The following is a 27,351-nucleotide window of genomic DNA, read 5'->3' as shown; positions in this document are numbered from 1 at the left end:
GCCCCACGCCAGGAAGCCCAGCTCTCGCTTCCACCTGCACTGAGGGTGTGCAGGGCCTGGGTGGGTGGGCGGCTCGCCAGTCACCGAATGGGCCTTCTACAGGCCACAGTGTCTCCACTGCACAAACAGCAGGGCCAACGGGGTGCTCCCTGAGGGCCTGGTCACCTCTGGCGTTCTCAGGGGTCTGGGCTGGAGTCTGGGGGCCCAGGGAGAGGCATGGGGGGACGAGCGGCTACATGGAAGTACTTCCTGGGCCTGAGGGCCTGCCAGCACCTACCATGGCTGTGGCTGGGAGTGACGTGTACAGATCTGTGGTTAGGGACTGGGAAGGGCACAGGGCCTGATCAGGCCCTGCAGGTGGCATGAGCCCAGGGCTGGCCTATCGCAGGCCCCAGACGTACCCTGCAGGGGGTCTGCTGGGCAATGAGGGCAGGTGGCCAGGAGCTCGTCACCAGAATCCTCCCACCTGGGTTTCCTCCCCCCGGACCAGACATACTCAGAGATGCCTCCTCCGAGGCCCCAGGTCCCTCCTCTGTCCTCAGAAAAAGCCTCTCTCAACCTGGGAGGGGGAAGGGCAGCAGCTCATTGGAGCCAGGCCCCGGCTTCAGGGTTCAGGTCCTGATTGCTGTGTGCCTAGCTGGGCCCCAGGGTGTCCAGCCCCCACCCTGCCTGTGCCAAGACAAGACGGCTGCCCGCTGCCTGCCCACGAGCCAGGCTCCATGGTCCCTGCCCCCAGCCTACATCCCCGCTAGCAGCTGCCTTCCCAGGAGCAGGGAGAACAAAGACAGATTGAGAGTGGGGGAGAGGCTGAGCCTGCGCACCCAGCACGGCCAGGGGCTGCTACCAGGGCCCAGGGTGGGGGACGGCTCTGATTCAGGGTGAGACTGGGCTCTTCCGCTGACCGGCCTGTGACCCATAGGATCTCCTGGTTCCTGTCCTCAAATGCGGATGAGTGTGTCAATGCCACCCCCACAGCTTACTGACAGATTGACGAGATGCCACCTGTAATGCCAGTGCATAACCACGCACTGACCGCCCGCCTTCCCACTCAGCCCACCTCCTGTTTGGCGGCTGGGACGGAGCTAGGACGTTGCATGAATCTTCCCAGCCCCTGCTCAGCGTCTCTTGACCTCTGCTCCAGGCAGCCAGTGCCAGGGAGCCCGTCAGGCCCAACTGGGCAAACAAGATCCTCAGCGTGGGTGCAACATGCCGCTTGGCAATGCTTGCTGGGACACGAGGGTGCCAGGGGCCTGGGACAGCCAGGCCCATTCTGGACTCAGTTTTCTCATCTGTAAAATGGCCAGGATGTTCTCCAGGGCCCCGTAGCTCTGACCTGGGTTGGCTGTGCCAGCACCGCCCGTGTGGCCCCTCCTGGGTCCGGCCCATGGCTCTGCCAGCTCCTGCAGGCAGCCCCTCACTGTTGGGCCTGCACCTCCACAGCCTGGCCTGGCCCAGGGAAGGGGCAGCCGGGGGGGCCCTCTGCACATGGAAGCATAGGCAGGGGCCCTGGGTGTCCCCAAGGGGCTCCCGTTCTCAGGCCACTCATGTCTGTGCACAAGGTGGAAGCAGAGGCAGGTGGGGACAGGTGGCTACTCCCTCACCCCCACCCTGTGTCCTCCTCCCAGCGTAGGCTGGGTGCAGGCGACAGTCTGAGCTGTGCCTGGAGCAGGAACAGGGACCCGGGGGCACAGAGGGTGGGGCAGGCAGGCTGTACACCGAGGCCATGTCCCAGGGCCTGCAAGGACCCAGGTACAGATGGGGAGATGGAGGCCAGTGGGATGCTGGCCCTCCTCGCACAGCTGGCCACGTCCACCCCCGACCCGGCGAGGGCCAGGACAGCTCAGGCACGAACAAACCCCTGCACCACTGGCCATGCCCACTGGGACTCCATGCGTGTTGGGCAGCTGGCCACTCGCTGGGCAGAGCGAGGGGCTGGGGCTGGCCTCTGCCCACAGCAGCTGAATGGGGGCTTGGAGATGATACAGAAAAGCCACTACCCGGGGCTGGTGTGCTCAGCGGCCACTGCTTCCCTCTCCCTCCCTCCTCAACTGTGCCCTGGGTTAGCCTCAAAGCTAGGCTTTGACACTAGCCCTCGTCTGCAAAATGGGAAGCAGACAGCCTGCCCTCCGCCCCCAGTGTGGCTCCTGGTTGAGTTCTGGCCCACCAAGGGCTGCCTGGGGGCCTCTGCCTTCACTGTGAGGTGGGCCCGGGGCAGAGCCCTGTAACAGTAGGACAGCCCTCCAATCCACCCCACTCCCTCTCCCCCACCCCACCTCTCCCACTTTGGACCTTGGGGTGCTCAGACTGTGTCCAGGTCACAGGAAGCAGGTGGGGTGGTATAACGCTGTCACAGCACGGGAGCACAGGGTCCCTGCCCAGGGCACCAGGGCCAGGGGCCTTGGCAGCATCTTCCCATGTCCCTCTGACCCTGCAAAGGCCTTGATCGGCGGCCAGGAGCCTGGCCAGGCCTCCAGTGGTGCCCATCTGCTCCTTCTGGGTCTCCATGCCATTTCCAACAGACAGAGGTTGGGGCTGAGGGAGATGGAGGGTGCCCCAGCCACGGCCAGTCACCCTTCTGGGGTGAGAACAGGAGTGAACTGAGGGCACAGAGGCTCGGGGCAGCCCAGGCTGGCCCTTCTCTCAGGACTCTCCTGGTACCTCTCTCTCCCTCCCTGCTGCCTCTGGGAAAAGCTGCAGGCGAAAGAGGAAAGCAGCCTTGGCCCTTGCCCTTGGCCATTGGCGTGGCAAGGTCCTCAGGGCCTTCACGCTAGTCATCCCATCTGGGCTGTGACCACACTGGTCATTCCACCCAGGCTGTGACCCAGGCCGACTGGCTGGGAGGGCTCCGGGGTCCAGGCTGGCCCTTGGGCAGTTGTCTGTCTGCATGGGCTGCTCTGGAGTGACACAGGTGGTTGCCTGGAGGGCGGGCCTATTCCTGCCCCACCAACCCCCGAGTTTGGAGGCCCGGTAATGGCTACTTGACCAGGACAGGCCTGTCCTATTCCCAGAGTGGCAGTGCCAGCACCCTGAGCCTACCCCAGTGGTAGCAACAAGGGCTGGGGGGCCTCGGCCTCCAGCTACTCTGTGGGGCCAGCCCATTTGCACCCTGACCCCCAGTAAGTGCCCTGCACCTGCCTGGCACCGTGCTGAGCGGGGCTGGGCTCCAGGCTCTGGGCACAAGGGCAGATGCACACAGTAGGGGCTTTATCAGCACCTCCTGGCAGAATGGATGGCACTGAGTGTAAAATGGCACCGACTGTCCCGCGCCTCACCTGTGAAATGAACGCTCCTGCAGGACCCACGTCGCACTGGGAGGGATGAGGGTGGGAGACCGTGCGGAGGGACCCCGCAGGCTGGCTCATTCCTTTCCTCCTCACCCACTCACCCAGCACACAGACCCTGCCCAGGCTGGCGTGAATGGTGAGTGGACAGACCCGGCCTGAGGCTGGCCCTCGGGGACTGACATGAGCCCTCAGAGGGGCGACCCTAAGCAACCCCTGTGGTTCCTTATTTAATTACAGCTTAGAAAGGGCTGTGAGAGAGGACGGCCCCTCAGGAGAGGACAGGCACCACCGGTCTGCCCTGCTCTCCTGGCCTGGTGGTTGCCAGGGTATACCGGCACTGGGCTGGGGGGCAGCTGTGTGAGCAGACCTCACCCCAGCTCAGGACCCAGGCTGTCTGGGTGCTCAGAGGCAGACCAGGCAGGACTCTCCCTCCTAGGGTGAGGCTGGCAGGAGTGGAAGCCTCTCTAACAGGGGGCCAGGTGGTTGGACCCTGCTCACCCCTCCAGCGACGGGGAGCCCGTGCCCCTGCCCTCTCTCCTTCCCACCGTTGGTAGAACTTAGTCTTTGACTTTAGGTGTCCACTAGGCCTGGGTCTGCTGTGGCCCCTGGGGACCACCCTCCAGAGACTGGCTCCTATGTGGCCTCCACCTCCCGGCCTTCCCGTCCACCATCCTGAAAACAGAGGTGGGTGTGCCTTCTCCAATGTAATGTGTCCACTGGGCCATGAACCACACACCTATCAGACACCTGCTGTTTGCAAGATGGAGGTAGGGGAGGGGCTGGCAGCAGGGAGTCAGGTCTCATTCCTGACTACAGGGAAATTTGACCTCCAGGCACCAGCAAAAAGCCAGGGGCTTGAGCTTACTTCACTGTCCCCGTCCAGAGCTGGGCCAGCTGCGTCCTGCCCCACACCCACAGGCAGCACCGCATCACTTTCCAGTCACCACCCACCCCTCCCGCAGCCTGCATGAACCGCATAACTTTTCCAACCCAGGAAGTAACTGCACTTTGATGGAAGGCGCAGAGTCTATTTCAGGTAGGAGCTTCCACGTCCCCACATGTGCGGTGTGTGTCATTCGCTTGACAGCCGTCAGCTCCTCCACAAAGTGGGCGCTCACCTGAAGGTTAACTCAGGAGCCCTGGCTGTGGAGGCTACAGTCGCACCTGGCCACTTGGTCCGTCCCCACTAGCGACATCCCCTTTGCCGGGCTGCAGGGCCCATGACAGTCCAGGGATGGGAGGGCAGGGCCTGGGCAGGGCCCACTGCACCAACCTGGCTTTTAGAACAGAAAATTGCTGCTGCCCTGGTAGGGGTGGGAGCAGTGTGAGGTCTCAGACCCCAGGCCTGGAACCCAATGCTACTATTTGCTGCACTGGGGGCTGAGCACCGACACCCCAAAAGCCCCTGGCTGGGTGGCACCCTCGGGGTCTGAGGCACTGCTCTGGGACCCCACCTTCCCAGTGCAGGGCGGCAGGGAGCAGGTCCCAGCCTGAGCTGCTGTCCCACCCTTCAGAGTGCAGATGTGGAAACTGAGGCCGGAAGAGGGCGAGTATCCTGCTCCATTCCAGTGCCAGACGGAGGGGCAGGGCTGGCAGTAAGGGAATTTCCTACGTCCAGCGCCTTCTGGGTGTGCCTGACCTCTGGCCCGGTTCCTGGGTTCCTGGTTCCCTGCCTGGGCAGGGTCTCTGCCTCTCTGCCTCCTGGTGTGTCCAGCTGGAGTGGGCAGTAATGCTGTGGTCACAGCTGAGCTGCGGGAGCCCTGGGTGGGGAGCTTGAGCCCCAGAAGGCCCAGACAGACAGACCACCCCCCACGCCTGTGCTCCCCAGGGGGCATTGGGGACGGTCAGGGACACAGCTGGTCACCCCGCCTTCCCCTCCTTAGTCATGGTCACTCCTGGGGCGACTCCCCAGTTAGAGGGTTGACGGGTGGGTCTGGGGGCGTACAGGGATTGGATCCTACCCCACCCAAAAGGAACAGAGAGCTGTGATGGAGGCTGATTCCCCTAAGCCTGCCAGCGGTTGCGGGGTGGGAAGGGCTCCCTGTGCGCCCACCTGCGCGTGGGCAGCTGGAAGCCAAGCAGTCAGGGTGGGGCCGCAGGCCGGCGCGCACCTCGGGGTGCCACCCGGGCGGCGGACCCGAAGTTGAAGTTTATTTTCCCAACTGTGGCTGATTCATGGTCAGGATGTGGCAGCCGCGAGGCGCGGAAATCCCGCCTGCCCTGGGAGTAGGCCCGGCCGACCCTGGGCCCACCACTCTGCGGCCAGTGCGCGCTCGGGCGGTGCCTCGGCGCGGAGGACCATAGTCCCGAGCGGGGCGCGCGGAGCCGGGGGGGCCAGGGGCGCCCTGGGGTCCCCGCCCGGGAACTGTACCCTGCGCCGCCGGACCGCCCGCCGCCACCTGGGCACACACGCCGCAGCCCGGAACCTCGCTCCTGGACCCAAGCACGCCCCTGCCTCCTCCCGGACTCAGTTTCCCCTGAAGCTCCAAGCGGACCCCGAGGCCAAGGACTTACCCGGTGAGGCAACGGCCAGAGGGCGGTGGTGCGGCCGGCGCTCCGTCCGGGGCCGGGTCAGGGGCTGCGGGCAGCCGGCGCCCACTGCCGCGCTCCGCAAGGCTCGGACGGTGGCTCCTGGCGGGCGCGGGGCGGGCGGGGCGGGCGGGAGGAAGAGGAGGTGCCGCCCCGCCCGTCAGCGGCCACGTGGGGAGCGAGCGCGGGCCGGGGGCGGGGCCTGGGGGGGGAGGTGGGTGGCTGGGGGTGGCCCCGCCCACTGTGGCCGGTCCCTGAGGGCGCTTTAAGGGGTCTCCCCACTCCCGTGAATAACCTGGCCGCCCCCTCGCGGTCCCTGCTGGCCTGGCTCCTGGTGGGCGGAGATGGGGGTGGGACGCGCAGATCGGGGCCGTCTCCCGCCTCAGCCCCCACTGTCCGCCCCGTCCCTGCCCTCCACCGCCTCCCGTCCACCTACACCCCTATCCTCCGGTGGGACTGGCCTCCCAGGCGCCGCTCACCTCTCTCTGCCCCGGCCCGGGACTCCCGTTCCAGCCAGCCGGATCCGGAGTCCCCGCGTTCGGGGATCCCTCAGCAGAGATGGCTCTTCCCAGGCTTTGGGGAGAGAGAGCCTACCCATCAACCAGGCCACCCATGTGGCCTCCTCTCCGCAGCCCTGCCTGACCCCCTTCCACCCTTGATGGGGTCTCGGCGGTCTTGGGCAGCCGCACTTCGCCGGTTGGTGGAGACAGCTGCATGAGGGCCGCGGAGGTGTCGCAATGGGGTGGGTTTTCTCTGCCACCCCTCTGCTGTCCGGCCTCATCTGTCTCCTAGATTGAGGGGGGCACCCATCCCCCCACCGCCGACATTGACCAGCATGGGGCGTGCCCATAGTCGGCTCTGAAAGCCAGCCTGGTTGGATGAGAGCCAGACCCCAGCTCTGGAAGTCCCTTCTGACGTCTGACCCTCAGTCAGAGCTGCAGGAAGCAGCGCACCAGGCCTGGGGTTTGGGGGCCACTGGCAGCTAGAGGGAGGGCAGAGGAAGGCAGGCCTGGGGGAGCCCCCGTGTGACATGTGACAGAGCAGACACAACCCCTGCCCTGAGAACCGGCGCCAGCACTCCCTGTGCGGCCTCAGGCTCGGATATGACTCTGTGGAGCCTCAGTTTCCCCATCTGTAAAATAGAATAAGTACCCGTAAGGGCTGTATGAGGGTCAAGAACATGCGGATAAAGTGTCTCCACTCGGAGTCCTGACATCTCTCTCCGGAGGGCCTGCTGTGTGGGCCGTGGCGGCCAGGGCTCAGGGTGAGGGCGAGGGGAGAGAAAAGGGCTCCTGAATGGCTTCCCAGCCCCGATGCAGCTTCTGCTTTGAGGCCAGCTGCGTGTCCTTTGGCTTTGGTGTGCCTCCGCTCCGGTGGGGATAAGCGCCGAATTGCAGGCTGCGTCTGTCTGCTCCCTGTGCGGACCTTGCCCTGCCCAGCAGCCCCAGCCCCGGAAGTTTGCTGGCTCAGCCCCAGTGCAGGAGCAGCTGCAGGCCACAGCCCCGGGTGTGCCTGAGGAGCCAGCCAAGGCAGGCGCTCACTGGACACCCTCCAACCTGGGCGGCCGCTGCTCCTAGACAGGCACTCTGCAATTCTTGGAATGCACCTGGAAGGCCGGCCTCCGGCCCTCCACACCGGGCTCCAGGGCCCCTTCCAGAGCAGAAGGCCTTCCTGCCCTCCCTCAAGCTGGGCTTTGGGTCTCCTGGTGCACTCCTGGACCCGAACATTGGTGCCTGCCCTGGTACCACCCCACCCTGGAGGGCACGGGCGGGGCTGACTCATCTGCGTTGGGAGCTGATGCCTGGCAGCGGTGCTGGGCAGTGGGTGTGTTTGTTGATCCAGTGAATGGAGGAATGTGAGGAGGTTGGTGGGGAGTGAGCTTTGACCTGCAGCCCCCTCCCCTGTCCACCTGCCTGGGGGAAAGTCAGAGTCCTGAGCCTTACTCAGAGGCTGGAGTAGGAGGTCAGGTGTGGGCGAGGGGTCCACCTTTCCTGCCCTGATGGGGGAGGGAGGCCCAGCGCCCCCAGGGCCGCTCCTGCCTGGGGCTGTCTCCCTTGCACCCAGTCGTGCTTCCGAGCTGCACACCTGGTCCAGAGAGGCCAGCACAGGCCGGAGCAGGGTGAAGAAGGTGGGGTGAATGTGATTTAGTTGGAGAGAGGTTGGAGAAGTCCCTGGGGTCGGCAGGGAGTGCAGAGGAGGGCTTTGGGCCCTGATTAAGAGTGTGTGTCTGTGTGTGTGTGTGTGTATGTGTGTGTGTGTGTGTGGAGTGGAGGCCGAGGTCAGAGGTCTGGGAGGGTGGAAATGTGGACACTGAAAGGGGGTTTTCCGTCAGGCTTGAACCCACCATGCCCGGGGCAGCAGGGTTCAACCCGGCTTGAGCACTGATTTTCTGAGACATACAGAGGCCCCCTCCTCTTCTCCTTCAGTGGCTCACCCTCAACCCTCTGTACCTCCAGCGCTCCCAGACTCCATCCTGGCCCTATTCTGAGCTTGCTTCCTGGCCCTGGGGTTGAAGAGAGGACCGATTTGGCCTCAGAAACACACCACCTGCAGCCACTGCCTGCGGCTTCCGGAGCTGCTTCCTGGAAGCCATGGCCTGCCTGGAGCCTCCCCTCCTGGGTGTCGGTCCTTCCTCGGAGCCGGGTACACAAGTGCCGGCCCCCAGCTGCAGGTACCCAGATGCCTGAGAACAGGGTCGTGCAGGTACAGGCTGGTACTGTGACACACCCAGGCGGAGCCACATGTTCCTGGCCACTGGCACAGAGTGCAAGAGTGGCCCTGCCACTGTAGGCCTGTGGAGAGCTTGCCTCTGCCTCTTGCTGGAAGATTGGGATGAGGGGAGAGCAGGCCTTGGCACCGACAGCTTGAGTTCTGCTAGAAACAGGCAGGCAGGTGTGGGCGTTCTGAGAGAAATCCTCCCAGCCTGATGTTGGCGCCGCCGTGCAGTCAGGACAGCCCTGCATGCAGCAGGCGGCCACTTGCAGGCCCAGAAGGGCTTCCTGGGGTCCACCTGAGCAGCAGCCTGGCCATGGGTTCATTTCCTTCATCAGTTCAGCACCCAGAATGCTTTTTATCTTTTTTCCCCTTTTGAGATTTTATTTTGCATCCTACTGTGGTGCCCTGAGATGATCTCTGACATTGTTACAGAATGAAGTAAGTGAAAACATGCCTGCTCACCCATGTCCACCCACCTTGCCCACCTATGTACCCATTCACCCATTCATCCATCCATTCCCACACACACCCACACTTCATCCGTCTGTTCACCCACCTACCCACCCATTCACCCACCCACCCTCATCCATCCATCTGCCTATCCATTCATCCATCCACCCACCCATCTGTCCATCCACTTATCCATACACCTACCCATCCACCTATTCACCCTTAATCCACTCATCCACCCATCCACCCACCTACCCACCCATTCATCCACCTACCCTTATCCATCCATCTGCCCATCCATTCATCTATCCACCCACCCACCTATCCACTCACACATCCATCCACCTACCCATCCACCCATCCACCTACCCACCTATCATCTACTCATCCATCCATCTGCCCATCCCTTCATCCATCTACCCATCCACCTACCCATCATCCACTCATCCACCCATCTAACCACCTACCCACCGACTGATCCACCCACCCTCATCCATCCATCTGCCCATCTATTTGTCCATCCACCCACCCACCTACCCACCCACCTATCCACCCACCTACCCATCCATCCATCCACCTACCCACCCATCATCCACTCATGCACCCATCCCCCCACTTACCCACCCATTTGCCACTCACCCACCCACCCTCATCCATTCATCTGCCCATTCATTCATCCATCCACCCACCCATCCATCCATCCACCCACCATCCACTTACCCATCGGCCTACCCACCCATCATCCACTCATCCACCCATCCACCCACCTACTCACCCATTCATCCACCCATGCACCCACCCTTATCCATCCATCTGCCCATCCATTCATCCATCCACCCACCCACCTATCCACCAACACATCCATCCACCTACTCATCCACCCATCCACCTACCCAGCCATCATCCACTCATCCACCCATCCCCCCACCTACCCACCCATTCATCCACCCATCCACCCACCCACCCACCCTTTCATCCACCCATCCACCCACTCACCCTTCCAGCTGTGGCACCTTGGGCAGCTGTTCTGCTCTATGCTTGCTGACAAGGACACGACCGCCCCCAGTCACCTCCAGCCAGGTCCTTCCTCCAACATCCCTGCCCCTCCCTTGGCTTTTTGCTCTGTAGCTGGCAGCTTTGCCTGCTGGGGCTTCAGCAGCCCCTTGTGGAGCCTCTCAGCATTTTGCAAGCTTCTCTTGCATTTCTCAGTTCAAACTCCAAGAGCACCTGAGTCAGCCTGTCTGTGTCTGGCTGCAGGAGGTAGACATTGGTCAGGGCTTATCCCTGGTCTGAGGAGGGAAGGCAAGAGCTGGGACCAGGCTGCTGCTCTTAGAAGGGACGGTGGGTGGGGCAGTCAGTCAGGGGCTTGTGTCAGGCAGGAAGCTCTGTCCTCTTCATTTGAATATTGCACACACATACAGTAGAATCTCATTATTTACAGATTCTGTACTTGCAAATTTGCCTACTCGCTAAAATGTATTTGTAAACCTAAAACCAGTACTTGCTTAAGAACAGTCTGCATCTCTTGAAAATGAGATAAAATAAGATCAATACTTGCTTTTGAGATGATGTGTCCTATGGAGAAAATACATGTGTTGGACAGGCTCTGTACAGGCATGAGTTGTAGTGCTCTTGGCCGGGAGTTTAGTGACATATATTAACAGAAACACATAAATAACTCTATTGTGTACTGATTGGTTGCTGAAAAGGCTGGAGCAGAGGCTCGTAGGAACCTGGCCCTCTATTTCCCTTAGGAGCAGAGGTTCGGCATTCACTCTGTCAAGTGTTTGCAGCCATATCATGGAACACAGGACTCGCTGTCACAGATCGAGCTGCTGCATGGCATGCGTGAGGTGCCCAGAGCTTGGGTCTACCACACCAAGAGTTTTTACATTCATAGAAACCCACGTAACTACCACCACCCATAGCAAACTCTGCAACACCTCCAGGGCCCAGAAAGTTCCATTGCATAGCCCCCTCCGTGGGCACCTGCCAAAGCTAACTGCTTTTCTCCTCTCTGCCACCATAGAGCCGTCATTCTAGGATTGCGTGTAAATGTCAACCTTTGTGTCTGGCTTCTTTCGCTCCACAGTCTCTGAGACTCATCCACGCGGTGGTGTGCATCGTTCACTCATGTTTCTTGATTTCTATGAAATATTTCGTTGCACAAACCTATCCGCTGAAAGCTGAGGTGCAGAGGCCGGGTGCTGGCAGAGCTGGTGGGCCTCCTTCGGGCACCTCACTGAGCAGGCTAAGCCAGTGCTGGCCCTCGGGAGACGCAGTCCACCTCCCTGCTGACCTCCAGTGAGCCCTCGAGCTGTCCCTCCCCAGCCTCCTTCTCGGTTGCCTCAGTTGTCTGGTGGGAGTCCAGATGGGATGCGTGCTGTTTCCCGTGGCGGCACGCAGGTTACTTGCATGATGGGGAGAGCCGCTCAGCTTTGAACTGTCTTATGTCGGGGGTCCGTGCCATCTTTTGCTTAAAGAAGGGGTTCTCCACCTAACGAGGTGAGAAGACACTGGGCCTTGCAACCCTGGTGTTGGGAATTTGAGGAGCTGGAGGGAGCACCAGATGGGCTCCCTGGAGGTGCTCCTTTGAGAGCAGGGAAGTGCCTGAGACCCACCCGCACCCCAACCCATAGTCTGCCTGCGTGTAGCTGTGTTCTGACTTGCTCTGCTTCTGGCCTTGAACCCTGCAGACTCAGAAGAGGCAGGGGTGGGGCGGCAGAGAAGGGGAGAGGGGGAGAGGGCTCAGGGCAGGCCCTGTAGGCTGATGAATTGGATCTTGCCTGATGATCTTGGAGGGAAGGAAATAAAGTCTAGAATGTCTTGCAGGTGATTTTTGGCCACTGGACTGTGTTTTGAAGAGATGTAGTGCCAAGACTTTGTAGGTCTCCAAAGTCTCCGGAGGTAATTTGTGTGTGTGTGTGTGTGTCTGTGTGTGTGTGGTGGGGAGGGGGGCGGGTTTCAGAAGTATTTATGAATGGAATGGTGACTGGAATGAGGACACCACTGCGACTGTCTGCCCTCCCCTGCGGGCCTTCTCCCTTCTCCTTCACTCTCCCCTCTACCCTCCCATCTTTCCCTGAACACCTCCCTCCCTGCCCCACGGCTCCAGGGCCTTCAGGTGTGCTGGTCACTGATGCCAGCCTTCTGCTTTGACACCCCTGGTGGGGGACCCAGGCACCCAGGGGAGCTAGGCTCTTGGAGTGGACGGTGGGAGGCAGGGAGTGGCAGCCCCAGGCTGAGGCACGTAGGAGGATGCATGCTTGGGATTTATTCTGGAAGGGTCACCAGGAAGCCACGGAGGGGTCACTCTACAAACCAGTCTGTGCTGCCTCCCCAGGGCCCCTCCTCCCCTCCACCCCTCCCCTCCCCCATTGCAGCCACCCGCAGACCCCTCCCCCAGGTCTCTGTGTCTTTGAGGACCTTTGCTGCTCCTTGGGTTTTCAACATTAACACTTAGTTTATTAAGGTAGCAGTGGCTCACGCCTGTAATCCCAGCACTTTGGGAGGCTCGGGAGGGTGGACCGCTTGAGCTCAGAGCCAGAGGAGCCTGGCTCCCCTTCCAACCCTGAGTGCCGTATAGCCGTGTTACTCTGAGCTATCCCAGGCACACCCAACATTGCGGAGGCCCCAGCCACTAGCGCAGGCTGCATGCACAGAAGACCCCTCAGTTCAACCCAGACGTGATAATCCTAGGGTTGGCTGACTTTCTTCCATCCTGGAGGCTAGACTTGTCCGGGGGGGACGTGAGGATTTTAGGAGTGGCCACTGCTGGGGTGGCCCTTCCCCTAGGTGAGGGCTTGGTTTCACGGTGAGCATTCCTGAGTTAGGGTAAATAATTCCCCAGTTCTTACAGAACCTCCTAGTTTCACTGCTAGCTTGGAAGTATATCAGACTCTTTCTTCCCACCTGGATGGGACCTGCAGCCAGGTTATGGCTGGATTCTGGCCTGCGTTCTCCCCTCACCTGGCCTGCAGGCCAGGCAGCCCGCTCTGCCTTCCCCACGCCTCCAGGGGTGCTGCCCATCCCAAAGGCCGGATGGCTGTCCCTGCTCCCTGCCGCCCTCCCGCCTCCTGGCCCTGCCCCGCGCCCCACTGCAGGCAGCTGCCTGCTCATCTGGGGCACCTTATCTGCCAGTCTTGGCTTTGCTTAGCCCCAGGCACTATGCTTTTTTCATGGAAAGGAATCCATTTGCTCCTGAGCTCTTCCAGGGTGGGAGGTGACAGATTCCAGAGGAGGGGTGGGAAGGCCAGCACTTCCCCGCTAAAGCCCCTTGGGCAAGGCTCTGACCCAGCCCCTAGGCCCTCCCTGTCCCTCCCCACACTGCTGCCTCCTGCCTGCATCTTCCTGAGCGCCCGGCACAGCGTTCCCTTTCTCCTGTAGAATAGCAGGGAGACTTACGGGTTAAAAATAACCCCAAACCCCAAACCCCTATCTGACTCCACATACACTGGCTGTGCCAATTCCTCGCCAGGCACTGGGGTCTTTCCCATGCCGCCGCACAGGCTGCTGGCTCTTCTGGGACCCCCACCCCAGGGAACTCCTCCAGGCCCTCCTCCCCTCCCTGGAGACTCCCAGCCCCTCCCACTTCCCGCCTTGGGAGAGTGACAGCTCCCCTCCTTCCCACAGCGCCTCAGCCTGGAATCTCCACTTGCATCCGGTTTCCTGCCTGGCTCCCTGCCTGGCTCCCCAGTTAGACTTCAACGTCCAGGCCGGGTGTGGCCAGGGGTCAGCCATGCTCAGCAACCAAGGGGATGTCATGGGCTCCAGCCCCCATCCTCACCTGCCCCGCCCACCCTGCCTCTCCAGTGAGTGAACCCCAGGCTGTCCCGGCTCTGCACCAGCGTGCTGCCCTCCGGGACCTCAGGGGCCTGTGCCTCCTGCACTCAGATGCTTGCAGCCACCTCTCCGCCCCCGTGTCTGCTCTGCTTTCTCGGCTACCCCAGCTTGGCCTTGTCGTTCCTGATCTCTTACCTTGGCCATATTTTCCAATTGAAGTGGAAATCCAGTGCTAATTTCATAAGACGTGGAGTTTGCTGAGAGGGGGCGCTGGTGCCCGTGTGCCGGTAACTAGGGCTTAGCTGAGTGCTTTCTACATCAGGCCTCCTAGACGCTGCCCCAGCTCTGAGAGCCAGATGTGACATAACCAGCTCCGTGTCCAAGGTCCCCAAGGTGAGGGCCAAGCCTGCACGTGGCTTTCTGTGGGTGGCGTCCAGGAGAATGTTCTTTGTTCCTCTTTTCACCTTTCGCTGGCAGTGCTTTATTCAGTGAGCATGGGGCATTGATGAGGCCCCTATTACAGTGGGGCGCTGGGAGGGCCCTTCCCTACCCCTGCTTTTTGGGGTCCTTACTCCTCGCCCGCCCCATTTCCTCCTGCATATGCCAGTCTGTGGATCCTTCACAGCCTGGTGCCACCCCCCAGATGGCAGCTCGTGATGTTGACTTCTCTTCCAGGGCCTGGCTCGGGGAGGAGCTGGTGTTTGCTGGGAGAGTGAGTCAGCTGGTAGCTCTGTTTCCTTGGCCTGTGTGGAGTTTCTGTTTAGGAGGCACATGGGTGCTCCACAGTCAGAGTGAGCCCCTCCAGCTGAGACCCCGCCTCACTGCCCACCGCGCCCCACCATCTCTGGCTTCTCTTCCCTGGGCTGGTGTTAGTCCAGCCCCACCCACCCTGATGGCAGGCCTCCTCTGTGTGCACGCGTGTGCGTGTGTGTGTGCATGTGAATTTTCCCGGGGAGGTGGCTCCCGGGCTCCTGAGCGCTGATGAGCCTGGTTCGGTTCCAGCCAGGGGTCCCCACAAGCCCAGCTAGCAGAGCTCGGGGCTGTCTGGGGATCCCTTATGCTGGCAGAGGGTTGGCTGCATCCTTATCCGATGCTGCTGACTCAAGGCCTGAGTCATCGCCAACCTCCCTCTGACGGTGGCTGGGCTGGGTGGGCTGGGCAGGTTGGGCATTGCGGGTGCACGGGCCCTGAGGGGTGGGAGCTGTCGGACCACCGCCCTGCCCCGGGCAGCAGGGAGCCCTGCGTGGACTGCATTACAGAGCACAGGCCTGGCCTGGCCTACCTGGAGGGACTCCCCAGAGGTCAGGAGTGGCCCTGTGAACAGCGCAGTCCCGTGGTACAGTGGGAGGGTGCTGTGGCTGGGCCGGTCTGGGTCCTGGCTCTGCTGCCTGCTGAGATAGGGGTGGTGATAACAGTCCCACCTCCTAGGGCTGCTGGACGGGAGGTGTGTGTGAAGCCCCCAAGTCGGGCCAAGCTACCATCAATAAAAAATGACCCAGATGCCAAGGCATGGGTGGAGGCAGCAGCCTGGTCAATGGCCTGGCCAAAGTCCAGGGTAGGGGACACAGGGCCACTTCAGCTGTGTGCAGGGAAGGCTCCTCTGCACACACTGAGGTGGGAGGGGTGAGAGTCAGAAGACGGAGGGGGGGTTTGTTCCACAAGCACGGAAAGGTGACGGAGGCTTTGAGTGCAGCTCGGGGACCCTGATTTATGGGATTGGATTGGAGGGTCCCCCTTGGTGAGGGGCAGAGGATGGTAGGGCCAGGTGGAGGGGGTGAGCTGGGGCAGAGCCGGTGGGGTCTGCCGAATGGTAAGGGGATGTGTGAGCGTGAACCTGAGAGAGTGCATATGTTTGGGCAGAGGCCGAGGAATCAGCATTCACACTTTGCAGAGGGCAGAGGTAATTTACAAATGACTGGGGACCCTCAGGGATCCGTCTTGACCCTGTGTTGCCTTCCTCTGGGGCCTCAGTCCCCTGTTCAGCCCAAGATCCCCTAGAGAAGAGCCAGGACATCTGGGGTCACCCAGGAGCAGCCTGGTCCCCTGCAGTCCTTTCTGGGGCCTGGAGCTGACACTACGGCAGCCACAGAGTTGTGCTGGCCCCGGAATCCTGGGAGCCCTGTTTGCCTCTGTCCCTGTCGGGCAGCCCAGCTGGAGGTTCATCCCCATCCATGTGGTGTGGGCTGGGTGCCCTGCCCCAGCGCTGGGCCTGATGAATGCCTAGGGAGGGCAGCTGGGCTGGGCCCACCCTCAGCCACTTCGCCCGGCAGTGCCATCACCCTGCTTACAGATGGACAGGCCCAGGGCCCGGGGCTTGCTTGGGCCCACAGAGTGGCTGCTGCGGCTGGGGCTGGGCCCATGCCTCCCTGACCTGGCTCCAGCCAGCTCCTGGCATTCCCTTCCCCCTCCCTCCCCCAGGATGCCCAGCCTTCCCAGCGGGCCGGCTGGGGAATCTCATTACTCCCAACCTACAGATGCAGAAACTGAGGCTGCAAGAGGGGAGTGGCTGGCAGCCAGGAGAATGGGAAGGCACCCGGTGGCAAGGTCGGAGTCTGCCCAGCTGGGTGGGGATGAGGCCTCTCTGCAGAGCTGTCGGGAGTCCTGGGGGAGAGTAGAGGGGCCACTGCCAGCAAACGGAGGGTGAGCTGGGGCTGGGACCCACCCGGACCTTTGAGCACTGGTGTCCCTGGCCAGGTCACCCTCAGGGCCTCCTGGCAGGAAGCCTCTCACCTGGGCTGGCCCGTTGGTCCTGGGCACCTGCTCAGGCCCCACAGGAGCGGCTTCCCATGTCAGGGCGGGAGGCTTCAGCTGGGGTCTGGGGTCTCTTGACCACCCCAGCTCTGCCACATGGAGTGAAGGGACTTGACCCCTTTGAGCCTCAGTTTCTGCAGCTGTACCTAGGGCTATGGGGAGGGGGACAGAAGTGGGAGGAAGGGGTGGGGGCGCTGGCAGGTCTTGTTTTGTGGGTTGGGAAGGGGACTCTCAGGAGAGCCCAGTTGCTGAGACGGTGTGCGTGTGCACGAGTGTGTGCCCACATCCCGAGGCACGGCTCCCTGATTACGGCCAGGCAGGAGTGGGGAGCCCACCCCAGCTGGCCACCCCCAGGGGCTTACAGAGAGCAGCTGGGGGTGCCGGGACTCTCCTGGGCCAAGCCCACCACAAAGGGAGTGAGGAGGAGAGAGGGAGCCGAGTGGGGGAGTGGGAGGAGCCACCAGGGGCTCTCAGCAGGGAGGGTTCCTTTGTCCCGAGAAGGAGTTGAGAGGATCTCTGGGGCTCCCAGGGGAGGCTCTGATGTAGGGAGGACGAGGGCCGACAGGAGCTCAGAGCAGGACCCGGGGCCACCGTGGTGGGCTGCAGTCAGTGTTCTCAGAGATTCTCCGGTGGGTTGAGGCCTGGCTCTGCGGCATTCCGCATGAGCCAAGCCTCTTGCTTCTGGAAATTTCTCTTATTTTCCTACTTCCCTGTGTTTTCTGATGGGTCCTTTCTTGGGGTGCCTCCTAGGCCTTCCCCTCCCCTTCGCTCAGCCCAGTCTCCTGGGCGGGGCGGCCACCCAGAAGCTAAGAAGCCCCGTGGTCGCCTCTGTGTGTCCCTGAGATCTGGGGCTGCAGCCCCGCCCACCTGCCCGCACTCCGCCCCGGCACACGTCCTCTGCCGTCGCCGGGTGGGCGGGAAATTAGCTGCCTAGGAGGGGTCCGCTGGGCTGGGGGCTCCGGGAAGGTGGGCTCGGCAGCCCGCAGCCCTGCGTTCTCCAGATGAGTTGCGGGAGGGGTGTTCTGGGGAGTCCCCGGGCTCCGCTGTAGGGGAGGGCAGGCTTCGCGCTGCTGCGTGGGGGCCGAGGCGGCAGCTGCGGTGCTGAGTCACGCTCCGGAAAATGGAGGAAGCAGAGTTTCCACCACCATCTGCCTCCTCCTTGGGAGGAGGAGGAAGGGGAGGAGGTGGAAGGAGGTGGAGTAAGGGAGCAGGGCGCAGAGCAGCGCTGCAGGCACAGGGGCGGGGGCTCCCGGCAGGCCAGTGCCCTGCCTGTCCCAGACCGAGTGGGGTGAGGGCAGGTGGTTCTTCCCGAAGCAGCTCTCGCCTCTTCGTCAGGGAAGGGAGTGTTGAGTGTTCCGCCCAGCAGAACCAGGCCACACCAGGGGCTCCCTCCTCCCTGCCCCACCTCGGGGAACCGAGAACCTCCAGGGCTTTCAGGAGCTCAGCAGGCTCAGGTGCTAAGTCCCACTGCCCCCGCGTGTGGCCTGGCTGTCCCCAGTCCCCAGAGGCAGTGGGAACATTGACACAAAGTCCTCAGCCAGCCACAGCCTCCTGTCCCCCATAGCCCTAGGAACCTCCAGCTTGCTGGCCGCAGAGTCCAGGGCAGCAATGGGGGGAGGGGGCTACTCTGAAGGGGGTGCGGTAAGGTCCCGCCAGCGCTCCCTCTGGAAGGCGGCTGCTGCCTTTCAAACCCAGGGGTGCGGCCCCTCCTCCTGCCTCCACAGGACGGGGGTGGGTCCTGGGGATGCCCCTATATCTGGGGATCCCCCCTCAGCTGCCCCGCCCTCCTGTCCTCCTGGAATGACACGTTTCTCCCCGTCACGTGCAGATGTGGCAACCAACGTCCAAGGTGGGAGGGCCCCCCCCCCCCCAGGCCCCTTGATCTCCCCGTGGGTCTCCCCAGCGGCGAAAACGGGAGCTGGGTAGGTCCGTAGGTTTCAGCTCTAGTAACAGCAGACCTCAGCCTCAGCTCTCTCACTCCTCAGGCGGCCCTGGGGCGGGGATCCCTCTCTGCTTCCTAGACGCGTGATTTGCCTCTCTGGGCTTCCTGCTCCTCTGCTAGAATGGGTGGTCCTGACACACGGAATCCAGCAGGAATCCTGGGCTGGTCCTGGCGGGGGCAGTCCCCCTGCTGCTGTGTGTGGCTCTTTCACAAGGACACAGGAGTCAGGAACCTTGTGGCTGCGAGGGCCAGAGACCCGACCTAGTGAGGGCAAAAGAGGGAGGGAATTGATGGGCTGATGTCACAGGGGGCAGGGAAGGTAGCCGGGCCAGGACAGCTGTCCCCGCGCCGCTCCCCCCTCCACAACACCCACCTCTGACTCCACTTCACCCTGATTGTGCTGTCCCCTCCCCCAGGCTGGGGCTACAGTGGCTGCAGGTCCAGGCTCGCTGCTCCTTGCCCTGGGGCCCTGGGAAGAGGGGCAATATTGTTTATAAGAAGTCCATCCCTAGGAATAACCCTGGAAACACTGGGGGTCCCACGCCCACCCTTAAACAGCCTCTGGGAGGAGGACTGGGGAGAGGGAGATGCTGTGAAAGGAAGACCCTTTCTAAAACACAAGGTTCAACAAGCGGGGTGGCAGTTTCTGAGTGCGGGGTCTGCAGGTGCTTCCGGCCTGCCTACCTGAGGCCCTTCCCCACAGGAAGAGGTGGCCTTGCTGGAAGGGAACGGTGCTCATGACCACCTGACACACTTGTGTCAGACTGGACACAGGGCTGTGGAGGCCTCTGAAGGGCTGCTGGGGAGGTGCTGGCCAGCCTAGCCTTGGCCATCAGGGTGGTCAGGGTCCAAAGGCAACTCCTTGGTGCTGGGAGTGGAGAGGTCACCTTTGAGTGATGCCTGGTTGGGGCTGGGAAGTCAAGGATCTTGGCAGGCAGGGCTTTGACGTCTGCAGGCGAATCACCCCCCACCACCCCCAGCAAGGCATCCATGTCAGGACATATAACTTGTGTTGCAGCACATGGAGCTTCCTCTTGCTGGAGCACCACTAAGCATTCCCATTTTACAGATTCAGAATCTGAGCAGGAGAGTCGCAGGGGTGGTGAGAGGTGTCAGAGCTGGGAGTTTTCCCATCAGCTGGCACTTCATTTACTCCCACCTTGGCCCTGTCATTTGGGCATTTAAGACAGCTTAGTGTTAAAACCTCTTACTGAATCCAAATCCCATTCATTCGCCTACCCATCTAGGCATCCACCCATCTATCCACCAATCTGTCTACTCTTCCACCCACACACCCAACCCCCTACGTCCATCCATCCATCTATTCACCCATTCACCCACCATCCATCCACCCATCCATCCACTCACCCATCCACCGATCCACCCATCCATCATCCATTCACCCACCAATCCACCCACCCCCATTATCCATCTGTCCATCCATCCATCTATTCATCCCTTCACCTACCACCATCCATCCATCTAACCACCTATCCACCCATCCATCCACCCCATCCATCCATCCATTCATCCATCCACCCATCTACCCACCATCCATCCATCCACCCATTCACCCACCATCCATCTATCCCCCATCCACCTGTCCCACATCCATTCAACATTAATTGAAAGTCTGCTATGTTCTGGGCACAGGATTGGCAGTGGTGGTACCAGGTAAGCAAGGGCACAGCATCACCCAAGTGGGTTGCAGCTTTACTAAATAAAGATACAGGGCACAGAGGTAAATTTGAATTTCAGATAAACAATGAATACAGTTTTAGGATAAGTATGTCTGATATGGTTTGGATTTGTGTCCTTGCTCAAATTTCATGTCAAATTGTAATCTGCAGTCTTGGAGGAAGGGCCTGGTGGGAGGTGACTGGATCATGGGCGTGATTTCCCCCTTGCTATTCTCCTGATAGTAAGTTCTCAGGAGATCTGGTTGTTTAAAAGTGTATGGCATCTCCCCTTTGCTCTCTTCCTCCTGTTCCCCCATGACTGTAAGTTTCCTGAGTCCTCCCCAGCTATGCTTCTTGTACAGCCTGCAGAACCATGAGCCAGTTAAACCTCTTTTCTTTATAAATTACCCAGTCTCAGGTAGTTCTTTTTTTTTTTGAGACGGAGTTTAGCTCTTGTTGATCAGGCTGGAGTGCAATGGCATGATCTTCATTCACTGCAACCTCCGCCTCCCGGGTTCAAGCGATTCTCCTGTCACAGCCTCTTGAGTAGCTGGGATTATAGGCATCTGCCACCATGCCTGGCTAATTTTTGTATTTTTAGTAGAGATGGGGTTTCATCATATCGGTCAGGCTGGTCTCGAACTCCTGACCTCAATTGGTCCGCCCACCTTGGCCTCCCAAAGTGCTGAGATTACAGGTGCGAGCCACTGGGCCCAGCCTCAGGTAGTTCTTTATAGCAATGTGAGAATGGGCTAATATAATGTCCTATGCAATATTTGGCACCAGCATGTCTCAAATATTGCATGGGACACACTTGTACTGAAATGTATTTGTTGTTTACCTGAAATTCAGATTGACCTGGGAGTTCTGTATTTTATCTGACAACCCCACCCCAAGGTGCTTGCTGTCAGGGGGTGAAATGATGCAGGTGGGAGATGCCTGGACATCACGCATGCAGAGGGCTGTAGGACAGGGCAGCTCTTCCTGTCTGCAGGAGTTGAGCAAACCTCTCTGGAGAGAGCTCCACGTGTGTGCTGAGCACCTTTTGTCTTCTCAAGAGCCTCCACACCTTGGCTGTGCCTTCAATATCTTCCATCCAACAGAGTCTTCCAATAGCACTGGATGAACTCAAGCCTCTCCTGATACTGTCTGTATTAGTCTGTTTTCACACTGCTATAAAGAACTGCCTGAGACTGGGTATTTTATAAAGGAAAGAGGTTTAATTGACTCACAGTTCCGCATGGCTGGGGAGGCCTCAGGAAACTTACAATCGTGGGGGAAGGTGAAGGGGAAGCAAGTACCTTCTTCATAAGGTGGCAGGAGAGAGAGAGCGCAGGGGAAACTGCCACTTTTAAACCATCAGATCTCAAGAGAACTCCCTGACTGTCAGGAGAACAGCCTGGGGGAAACCACTTCCTGATCCAGTCACCTCCCACCAGGTCCCTCCCTCCACACATGGGGATTACAATTCGAGGTGAGATTTGGGTGGGGACACAGAGCCAAACCCTGTCACTGTCTACAGCACCAGGTCCAAGGCACCCATTCCTCATATTGGAGTCTCTGTGGACAGCAGGGCTTTCCAACCCATCACGCTCCTGCAGACAGCCCCCACAGGAGGTCCTCCGCTGGCCCAGCAGGCCAGGGTCTCCCCAACTCCCCAGTCCGGCAACACCCTCAGGACAGGATGCTGACTCAGACCCTCTGAGTCTGCAGGGCATGTGCAGCGGTCCCCCACTTCTGACCCACCCCTCAGTTCCCCCAAGGCTTCAGCCGTCGGGCTCCTGCTTACCCTCCCGACATGCCTGTGGCCGCCCAGGGCAGTAGGCTGCTCATGAGGCTCCATCTGGGTGTTAGCTCTCGCCTCTTTCTGCCAGACTATCACCTCCTGAAGGGAGGGCTGAGTCTCTTTGTTGTTTTCTCCTCTATTTATGTTTGGCAATAATAATAGCAGCTATTGTGTATTAAGGGCCTCCTGTACTCTATACGCACTTTGAAAAATAATCTAATTTAATCTTTCTAAAAAAACCCTATGCATTTGGTAATATTCGTATCTGCATTTTACAGCTGCAAAAACCAAGGCTCAGCGAGGGTGAGAAACTTGCTCCAGGTCACCCAGCTAGTGATGGAGCACAACAGAATAGCTTTATTAACTTGAAAAATGCTTGTTATTAAAACGCGAATGAATGCAAACATGTACAAAAAAGAGTCTCTAAAAGTCACTTTAAATCCAACCACTGGCCGGGCGCGGTGGCTCACGTCTGTAATCCCAGCACTTTGGGAGGCCGAGGCGGGCGGATCACGAGGTCAGGAGATCGAGATCATCCTGGCTAACAAGATGAAACCCCGTCTCTACTAAAAATACAAAAAATTAGCCAGGCATGGTGGTGGGCGCCTGTAGTCCCAGCTACTCGGGAGGCTGAGGTAGGAGAATGGTGTGAACCCAGGAGGCGGAGCTTGCAGTGAGCTGAGATCGCACCACTGCACTCCAGCCTGGGCGACAGAGCGAGACTCCGTCTCAAAAAAAAAAAAAAAAAAAAAAGAAAGAAAAAAATAAATAAATCCAACCACTAAGAAATAACCATCATTAAATTGCTAAACCTTATTCCAGATGTCTTGCTTGGTACTTATGTAGAGAGACAGAGAAGAGGGCTGAAGAAGAGAAGAGTAGCTGAGAAGTGGAGTGGGATAAGACGATGATAGGCTTTATTTCAAAATAGAATATCAAACTTTATTTCATTCGGATTTAAATGGAAAGAGTTGCTGCATTTCAGATAAATATTTTACCACAACAAAAGATACTGGTTCCTTAATGATCTCCTTAGATTTAAAAAAATGACCATGGAAAACATTAAGTGCCTGGGTCATTATGTTTATGTAACCACATATTTTACAATTATCAAGGTCTGCTGATTCTGCAGGGCAATGAGAAGCACCACTCAGGCCTCCTCCCACGTTCCCTCCTTCCTCTGCTTCCCAAATGTGCTGGTTAAATACATGATTGTGTTTAGCTGACTTTTCACTGACATATAACGGAGATATGGAAAGATGCAGCCAGCCCCGCCTGGACGTCTTCACAAACTCAACACACTCCTCTAACCGACATCCAGACGGAATTAGACCATCCCCAGCCCCTGTACCCCCAGGTCTCCCCGTCAGCATCCCCAGGATAACTGTATCTACCCCCAGATCTCCCCATCAGCATCCCCAGGATAACTGTATCTACCCCCAGATCTCCCCATCAGCATCCCCAGGATAACTGTATCTACCCCCAGATCTCCCCGTCAGCATCCCCAGGATAACTGTATCTACCCCCAGATCTCCCCGTCAGCATCCCCAGGATAACTGTGTCTACCCCCAGATCTCCCCGTCAGCATCCCCAGGATAACTGTATCTACCTCCAGATCTCCCCGTCAGCATCCCCAGGATAACTGTGTCTACCCCCAGATCTCCCCGTCAGCATCCCCAGGATAACTGTATCTTTTTTTTTTTTTTTTTTTCAGATGGAGTTTCACTCTTGTTGCCCAGGCTGGAGTGCAATGGCGCAATCTCAGCTCACTGCAACCTCCGCCTCCCAGGCTCAAGTGATTCTCCTGACTCAGCCTCTTGAGTAGCTGGGATTACAGTCATGTGCCACCATGCCCGGCTAAGTTTTGTATTTTTAGTAGAGACGGGGCTTCGCTATGTTGGCCAGGCTGCTCTCCAACTCCTGACTTCAGGTGATCCACCCGCCTCGGCCTCCCAAAGTGCCAGGATTACAGGTGTGAACCACCGTGCCTGGCCAGATAACTGCATCTTATTTGCCCCCTTCCTAAAAGGGGATCGCACAGTGTCTGGTTTCCTCCACTCAGCGTACAGTCTGCAAGGTCGCCCTTGTTGCACGAGATTCTACATCAGTCATTGTCACTGCTGAGCGCCATTCCATGGGGTGAGCAGCCCCCCCACTCATCTATCCCTTCTACAACGAATGGGCGTTTGAGTGGCTTCTGGCGCCTGGCTTTTGTGTGGCCATGAACGTGCTCACACAGTACCTGTCTTTGGTGAACAGGTGCAAGCATTTCTGTCGGGTGAAACTTGGCAGTGGGTCTACCTGTGTTCAGCTTTAATAGTTACCATCCAGCACTTTTGTATAGTGGTTGTATCAACCTTCACGTGATGAGCAATGTGTGAGGGTTCTGGTTACTCCACAGCCTTGCTGATAACTGGAAGTGTTCACCTTGTTCATATTGACCAGTCTGTGGGTTGTGATATTACTTTGTGATTTGATTTGCATTTTCGTGATAACCAAGGAAATTGGGGTATCTTCTTACATATTTGCTGACCGCTGGACTATCCTCTTTGGTAAAGTGTCTTCAAATCTTTTTGCTCACTTCCTAGGGAGTCGTCTATCCTTTTCTTGTTGATTTGTAGGAGCTCTTTACATATGTTTTGGACGTAAGTCTTTTGTACGTGGCCGTACACTTGTATTGCAAATATCCCCGACCTCCTTTGTTGTGGTCGTTATACACGTGGTTTTACTTGTATTAAATTAATGAATTAATTAATTTTTTGAGACAGGGTCTCACTCTTTTGCCTAGGCTGGAGTGCAATGGCACAATCTCGGCTCACTGCAACCTCCGTCTCCTGGGTTCAAGTGATTCTTGTGCCTCAGCCTCCCAAGTAGCTGAGATTACAGGCATGCACCACCATGCCCAACTAATTTTTTGTATTTTTAGTAGAGATGGGGTTTCGCCACGTTGCCCAGGCGGGTCTCGAATTTCTGAGCTCAGGCAATCTGCCCGCTTTGGCCTCCCAAAGTGCTAGGATTACAGGTGTGAGCCACTGCGCCCAGCCTACTTGTATTCTAAACTCTATAAGATACTACAAGTATTGTTCTGAGCAGTCTATATTCAATTGAATTTACCCACATATTTTACTTTTTCTGGTATTCTTCATTTTTGTCTACATGTTCATGTTTACATCTGCGATCATTTTCCTCATGCCTAGATATATTTCCTTTAATATTCCGTTTGCAGCTCCATCAAAGATGAATTATCCTGGCTTTTGTTTGTCTGAAAAGTCTTTATTTCATTTTCATCTCAGAAGGATATTTTTTCTGGGTGTAGAATTGTAGGTTGGCCATGTTTTTTCTTTGAGCACTTTAAGGATATATTCCTTTGTCTTCTGGCTCCCATCAATTCACGTTCTTGATTCTCGGTCACATTTGCCTGCTTCTTGGTGTGTCTGTCGATTTGGGGTTGACCCTGTGCATTGTGAACACTACACTGTAGGGATGTGCGATTCCGTATCTTTCTCTCCAGATTATTAACTGTTTTGGTTTTGTGTCATCAAGCAGTTAACCTGACTGAACTCAAATGGTAAACGCTGCCTCCTCTGTGTGGCTGGCAGGTAAATCTCTCTTCAGCTATGTGAATTGCTGGGATCTGTCCTGTGTGCACATAGCTCAGGGTTCTGCCAGAGATCTGAGCTGAGTTTTTCATGCAGTCTTTGGGGAATCCCTCTCTATGGCGCTCTCCTTTCTGGGATTTCCCCCTCACAGTCCAGCTGCCATGGTCACCCCAAACTCTGTCCTCTGGTTCTTCGGGTCATTCCATTTCCTGTAGTCAACTCCCTACAACCTCTGTCTGGTTTTGGTCACTCAGAATGCAGTGAGTTTATATATATATATAATATATATAACATACATAAAATATATATATATATATATGGAAAGAGAGATGGAGTCTTGCTCTATTGCCCAGGCTGGAGTGCAGTGGCGCGATCTCAGCTCACTGCAACCTCTGCCTCCCGGGTTCAAGTGATTCTCCTGCCTCAGCCTTCCGAGTAGCTGAGATTACAGGGGCACCCCACCATGCCCGGCTAATTTTTGTATTTTTAATAGAGATGGGGTTTCACCATGTTGGCCAGGCTGGTCTTGAACTCCTGACCTCAGGTGATCTGCCTGCCTTGGCTTCCCAAAGTGCTGAGATTACAGGCGTGAGCCACCGTGCCTGGCCTAGTGAGTTTACATTTTGGTGTTTATATTTTGTCTGGCAATTATAGTTTTTTTTTTTTTTTTTTTGAGATGGAGTCTTGCTCTCTCGCCCAGGCTGGAGTGCAGTGGCGCTATCTTGGCTCACTGTAAGCTCTGCCTCCCAGGTTCATGCCATTCTCCTGCCTCAGCCTCCTGAGTAGTTTGGACTACGGGCACCCGCCACCACGCCCGGCTAATTTTTTTTTTTTTTGTATTTTTAGTAGAGACAGGGTTTTGCCATGTTAGCCAGGATGGTCTCGATCTCCTGACCTCGTGATCCGCCCGCCTCGGCCTCCGAAAGTGCTGGGATTACAGGTGTGAGCCACTGTGCCCGGCCTGGCAATTATAGTTGTTATTTGCACATTAGTTGTTCTAATTGGAGCCACCTGGCTTGTATTGGGAGCAAAAACCTCAGGCAGTTAGGATGGACAGAGGGGCAGGTCCCTCAACCCAGTGAGGGATGGGCCCGGGTGGACTGGTGTGTAGTTTGATGGGGTTCAGGCTTCCTCTGGTTTGCCCTGGTTTGGGGGATTGGTCTCTCCAGATTTCAGCTGAGAGCCTGGCGGGTCTTGATCTCCCCACTTTGAAAGGCTGTGGGAAGTGCAGTCCAGCCTCACAGAGCTGCTCAACTTGCTCCTGAGCCTCCTCCTGCAGCAGCATTGAGATCCTACAGGTGTCTTGGGGTGGGGCTGAGGGCCCCGCTGCCTGGTTGTGGCCCTGGACACTCCGATTTTGCCACTTTCCTCCCTGTGACAGTGAGAATCTTTGCTGGTTTCTTCTTCCCCGGCTGTAGCTCTCTGCCTGGGCCAAGCCCAATCCTTAGCCCAGTGTCCCAAATAGGCAAATGTCCCCAGGTAAAAAGATGGCTGTGGGTCACCTGCTTATCTGACAGTTCTCCATTCTCTGGAATTTTAGTTCGTTAAGTCCTCGCAGCCTCTGCAGCTCTCTGATGCCTTCGCAGTAAGGTTTTCACAATGTGTCTGGCCTCCTCAGTTATTGTGAGTAGTTGTGGTGACCTTCCCTGTGGGATCCACCTTGCCTACGTGAAAGTAAAAGTCCAGGTATTATTATTATTATTATTTTTGCTCTGTCGCCCAGGCTGGAGTGCAGTGGCACAATCCTGGCTCACTGCAACCTCCGCCTCCCAGGTTCAAGTGATTCTCCTGTCTCAGCCTCCCGAGTAACCGGGACTACAGGCACGTGCCACCA

At 58.1% G+C, this 27,351-nt stretch overlaps 1 protein-coding gene and 1 non-coding gene across 12 annotated transcripts in view, besides 13 other annotated features; one reads left to right on the top strand and one right to left on the bottom strand.

The window, feature by feature from the left end:
• The window catches only part of INF2 (inverted formin 2), a 41,403-nt gene extending 26,998 nt beyond the window's left edge, over positions 1–14,405 (bottom strand). For 5 of the 11 annotated variants that reach the window (NR_190061.1, NM_022489.4, NM_001426862.1 and 2 more), the window contains exon 1: positions 5,799–5,920. The gene's annotated coding sequence lies outside the window, so the exon portion shown is untranslated. Of the gene's footprint in view, positions 1–5,798; positions 5,921–6,292; positions 6,553–6,965; positions 7,247–13,955 lie in introns of those variants that run through there. The other 6 variants (NM_001426863.1, NM_001426865.1, NM_001426868.1 and 3 more) reach the window with 3 other exon arrangements.
• Positions 1,007–1,994: an enhancer, noted in NCBI's record as "H3K27ac-H3K4me1 hESC enhancer chr14:105159881-105160868 (GRCh37/hg19 assembly coordinates)". NCBI's record gives its function as "activates a minimal SCP1, AML or CMV promoter by ChIP-STARR-seq in naive H9 embryonic stem cells {active_cell/tissue: H9 hESC(naive)}" and the evidence as "EXISTENCE:reporter gene assay evidence [ECO:0000049][PMID:30033119]".
• Positions 5,407–5,456: a silencer, noted in NCBI's record as "silent region_6193". NCBI's record gives its function as "represses an Ori minimal core promoter by ATAC-STARR-seq in GM12878 lymphoblastoid cells {active_cell/tissue: GM12878}" and the evidence as "EXISTENCE:reporter gene assay evidence [ECO:0000049][PMID:35858748]".
• Positions 5,547–5,786: a silencer, noted in NCBI's record as "silent region_6192". NCBI's record gives its function as "represses an Ori minimal core promoter by ATAC-STARR-seq in GM12878 lymphoblastoid cells {active_cell/tissue: GM12878}" and the evidence as "EXISTENCE:reporter gene assay evidence [ECO:0000049][PMID:35858748]".
• Positions 5,807–5,896: a silencer, noted in NCBI's record as "silent region_6191". NCBI's record gives its function as "represses an Ori minimal core promoter by ATAC-STARR-seq in GM12878 lymphoblastoid cells {active_cell/tissue: GM12878}" and the evidence as "EXISTENCE:reporter gene assay evidence [ECO:0000049][PMID:35858748]".
• Positions 5,949–6,938: an enhancer, noted in NCBI's record as "H3K27ac-H3K4me1 hESC enhancer chr14:105154937-105155926 (GRCh37/hg19 assembly coordinates)". NCBI's record gives its function as "activates a minimal SCP1, AML or CMV promoter by ChIP-STARR-seq in naive H9 embryonic stem cells {active_cell/tissue: H9 hESC(naive)}" and the evidence as "EXISTENCE:reporter gene assay evidence [ECO:0000049][PMID:30033119]".
• Positions 5,997–6,256: a silencer, noted in NCBI's record as "silent region_6190". NCBI's record gives its function as "represses an Ori minimal core promoter by ATAC-STARR-seq in GM12878 lymphoblastoid cells {active_cell/tissue: GM12878}" and the evidence as "EXISTENCE:reporter gene assay evidence [ECO:0000049][PMID:35858748]".
• Positions 6,939–7,926: an enhancer, noted in NCBI's record as "H3K27ac-H3K4me1 hESC enhancer chr14:105153949-105154936 (GRCh37/hg19 assembly coordinates)". NCBI's record gives its function as "activates a minimal SCP1, AML or CMV promoter by ChIP-STARR-seq in naive H9 embryonic stem cells {active_cell/tissue: H9 hESC(naive)}" and the evidence as "EXISTENCE:reporter gene assay evidence [ECO:0000049][PMID:30033119]".
• Positions 13,814–14,103: an enhancer, noted in NCBI's record as "active region_9120". NCBI's record gives its function as "activates an Ori minimal core promoter by ATAC-STARR-seq in GM12878 lymphoblastoid cells {active_cell/tissue: GM12878}" and the evidence as "EXISTENCE:reporter gene assay evidence [ECO:0000049][PMID:35858748]".
• Positions 14,158–14,714: an enhancer, noted in NCBI's record as "H3K27ac-H3K4me1 hESC enhancer chr14:105147161-105147717 (GRCh37/hg19 assembly coordinates)". NCBI's record gives its function as "activates a minimal SCP1, AML or CMV promoter by ChIP-STARR-seq in naive and primed H9 embryonic stem cells {active_cell/tissue: H9 hESC(naive and primed)}" and the evidence as "EXISTENCE:reporter gene assay evidence [ECO:0000049][PMID:30033119]".
• Positions 14,464–14,513: an enhancer, noted in NCBI's record as "active region_9119". NCBI's record gives its function as "activates an Ori minimal core promoter by ATAC-STARR-seq in GM12878 lymphoblastoid cells {active_cell/tissue: GM12878}" and the evidence as "EXISTENCE:reporter gene assay evidence [ECO:0000049][PMID:35858748]".
• Positions 16,927–16,976: a silencer, noted in NCBI's record as "silent region_6189". NCBI's record gives its function as "represses an Ori minimal core promoter by ATAC-STARR-seq in GM12878 lymphoblastoid cells {active_cell/tissue: GM12878}" and the evidence as "EXISTENCE:reporter gene assay evidence [ECO:0000049][PMID:35858748]".
• Positions 17,502–18,058: an enhancer, noted in NCBI's record as "H3K27ac-H3K4me1 hESC enhancer chr14:105143817-105144373 (GRCh37/hg19 assembly coordinates)". NCBI's record gives its function as "activates a minimal SCP1, AML or CMV promoter by ChIP-STARR-seq in primed H9 embryonic stem cells {active_cell/tissue: H9 hESC(primed)}" and the evidence as "EXISTENCE:reporter gene assay evidence [ECO:0000049][PMID:30033119]".
• On the top strand, positions 17,789–17,844 carry MIR4710 (microRNA 4710). Its single transcript, NR_039860.1, has one exon. It is a non-coding gene; the product is annotated as a microRNA 4710 (primary transcript).
• Positions 18,059–18,616: an enhancer, noted in NCBI's record as "H3K27ac-H3K4me1 hESC enhancer chr14:105143259-105143816 (GRCh37/hg19 assembly coordinates)". NCBI's record gives its function as "activates a minimal SCP1, AML or CMV promoter by ChIP-STARR-seq in primed H9 embryonic stem cells {active_cell/tissue: H9 hESC(primed)}" and the evidence as "EXISTENCE:reporter gene assay evidence [ECO:0000049][PMID:30033119]".

Source organism: Homo sapiens, chromosome 14 (assembly GCF_000001405.40).
Source record: "Homo sapiens chromosome 14, GRCh38.p14 Primary Assembly".
Taxonomy (NCBI): Eukaryota; Metazoa; Chordata; class Mammalia; order Primates; family Hominidae; genus Homo; species Homo sapiens.
Note: the sequence above shows the minus strand (reverse complement) of the source record. Positions and strands in the feature narration are given on the sequence as shown.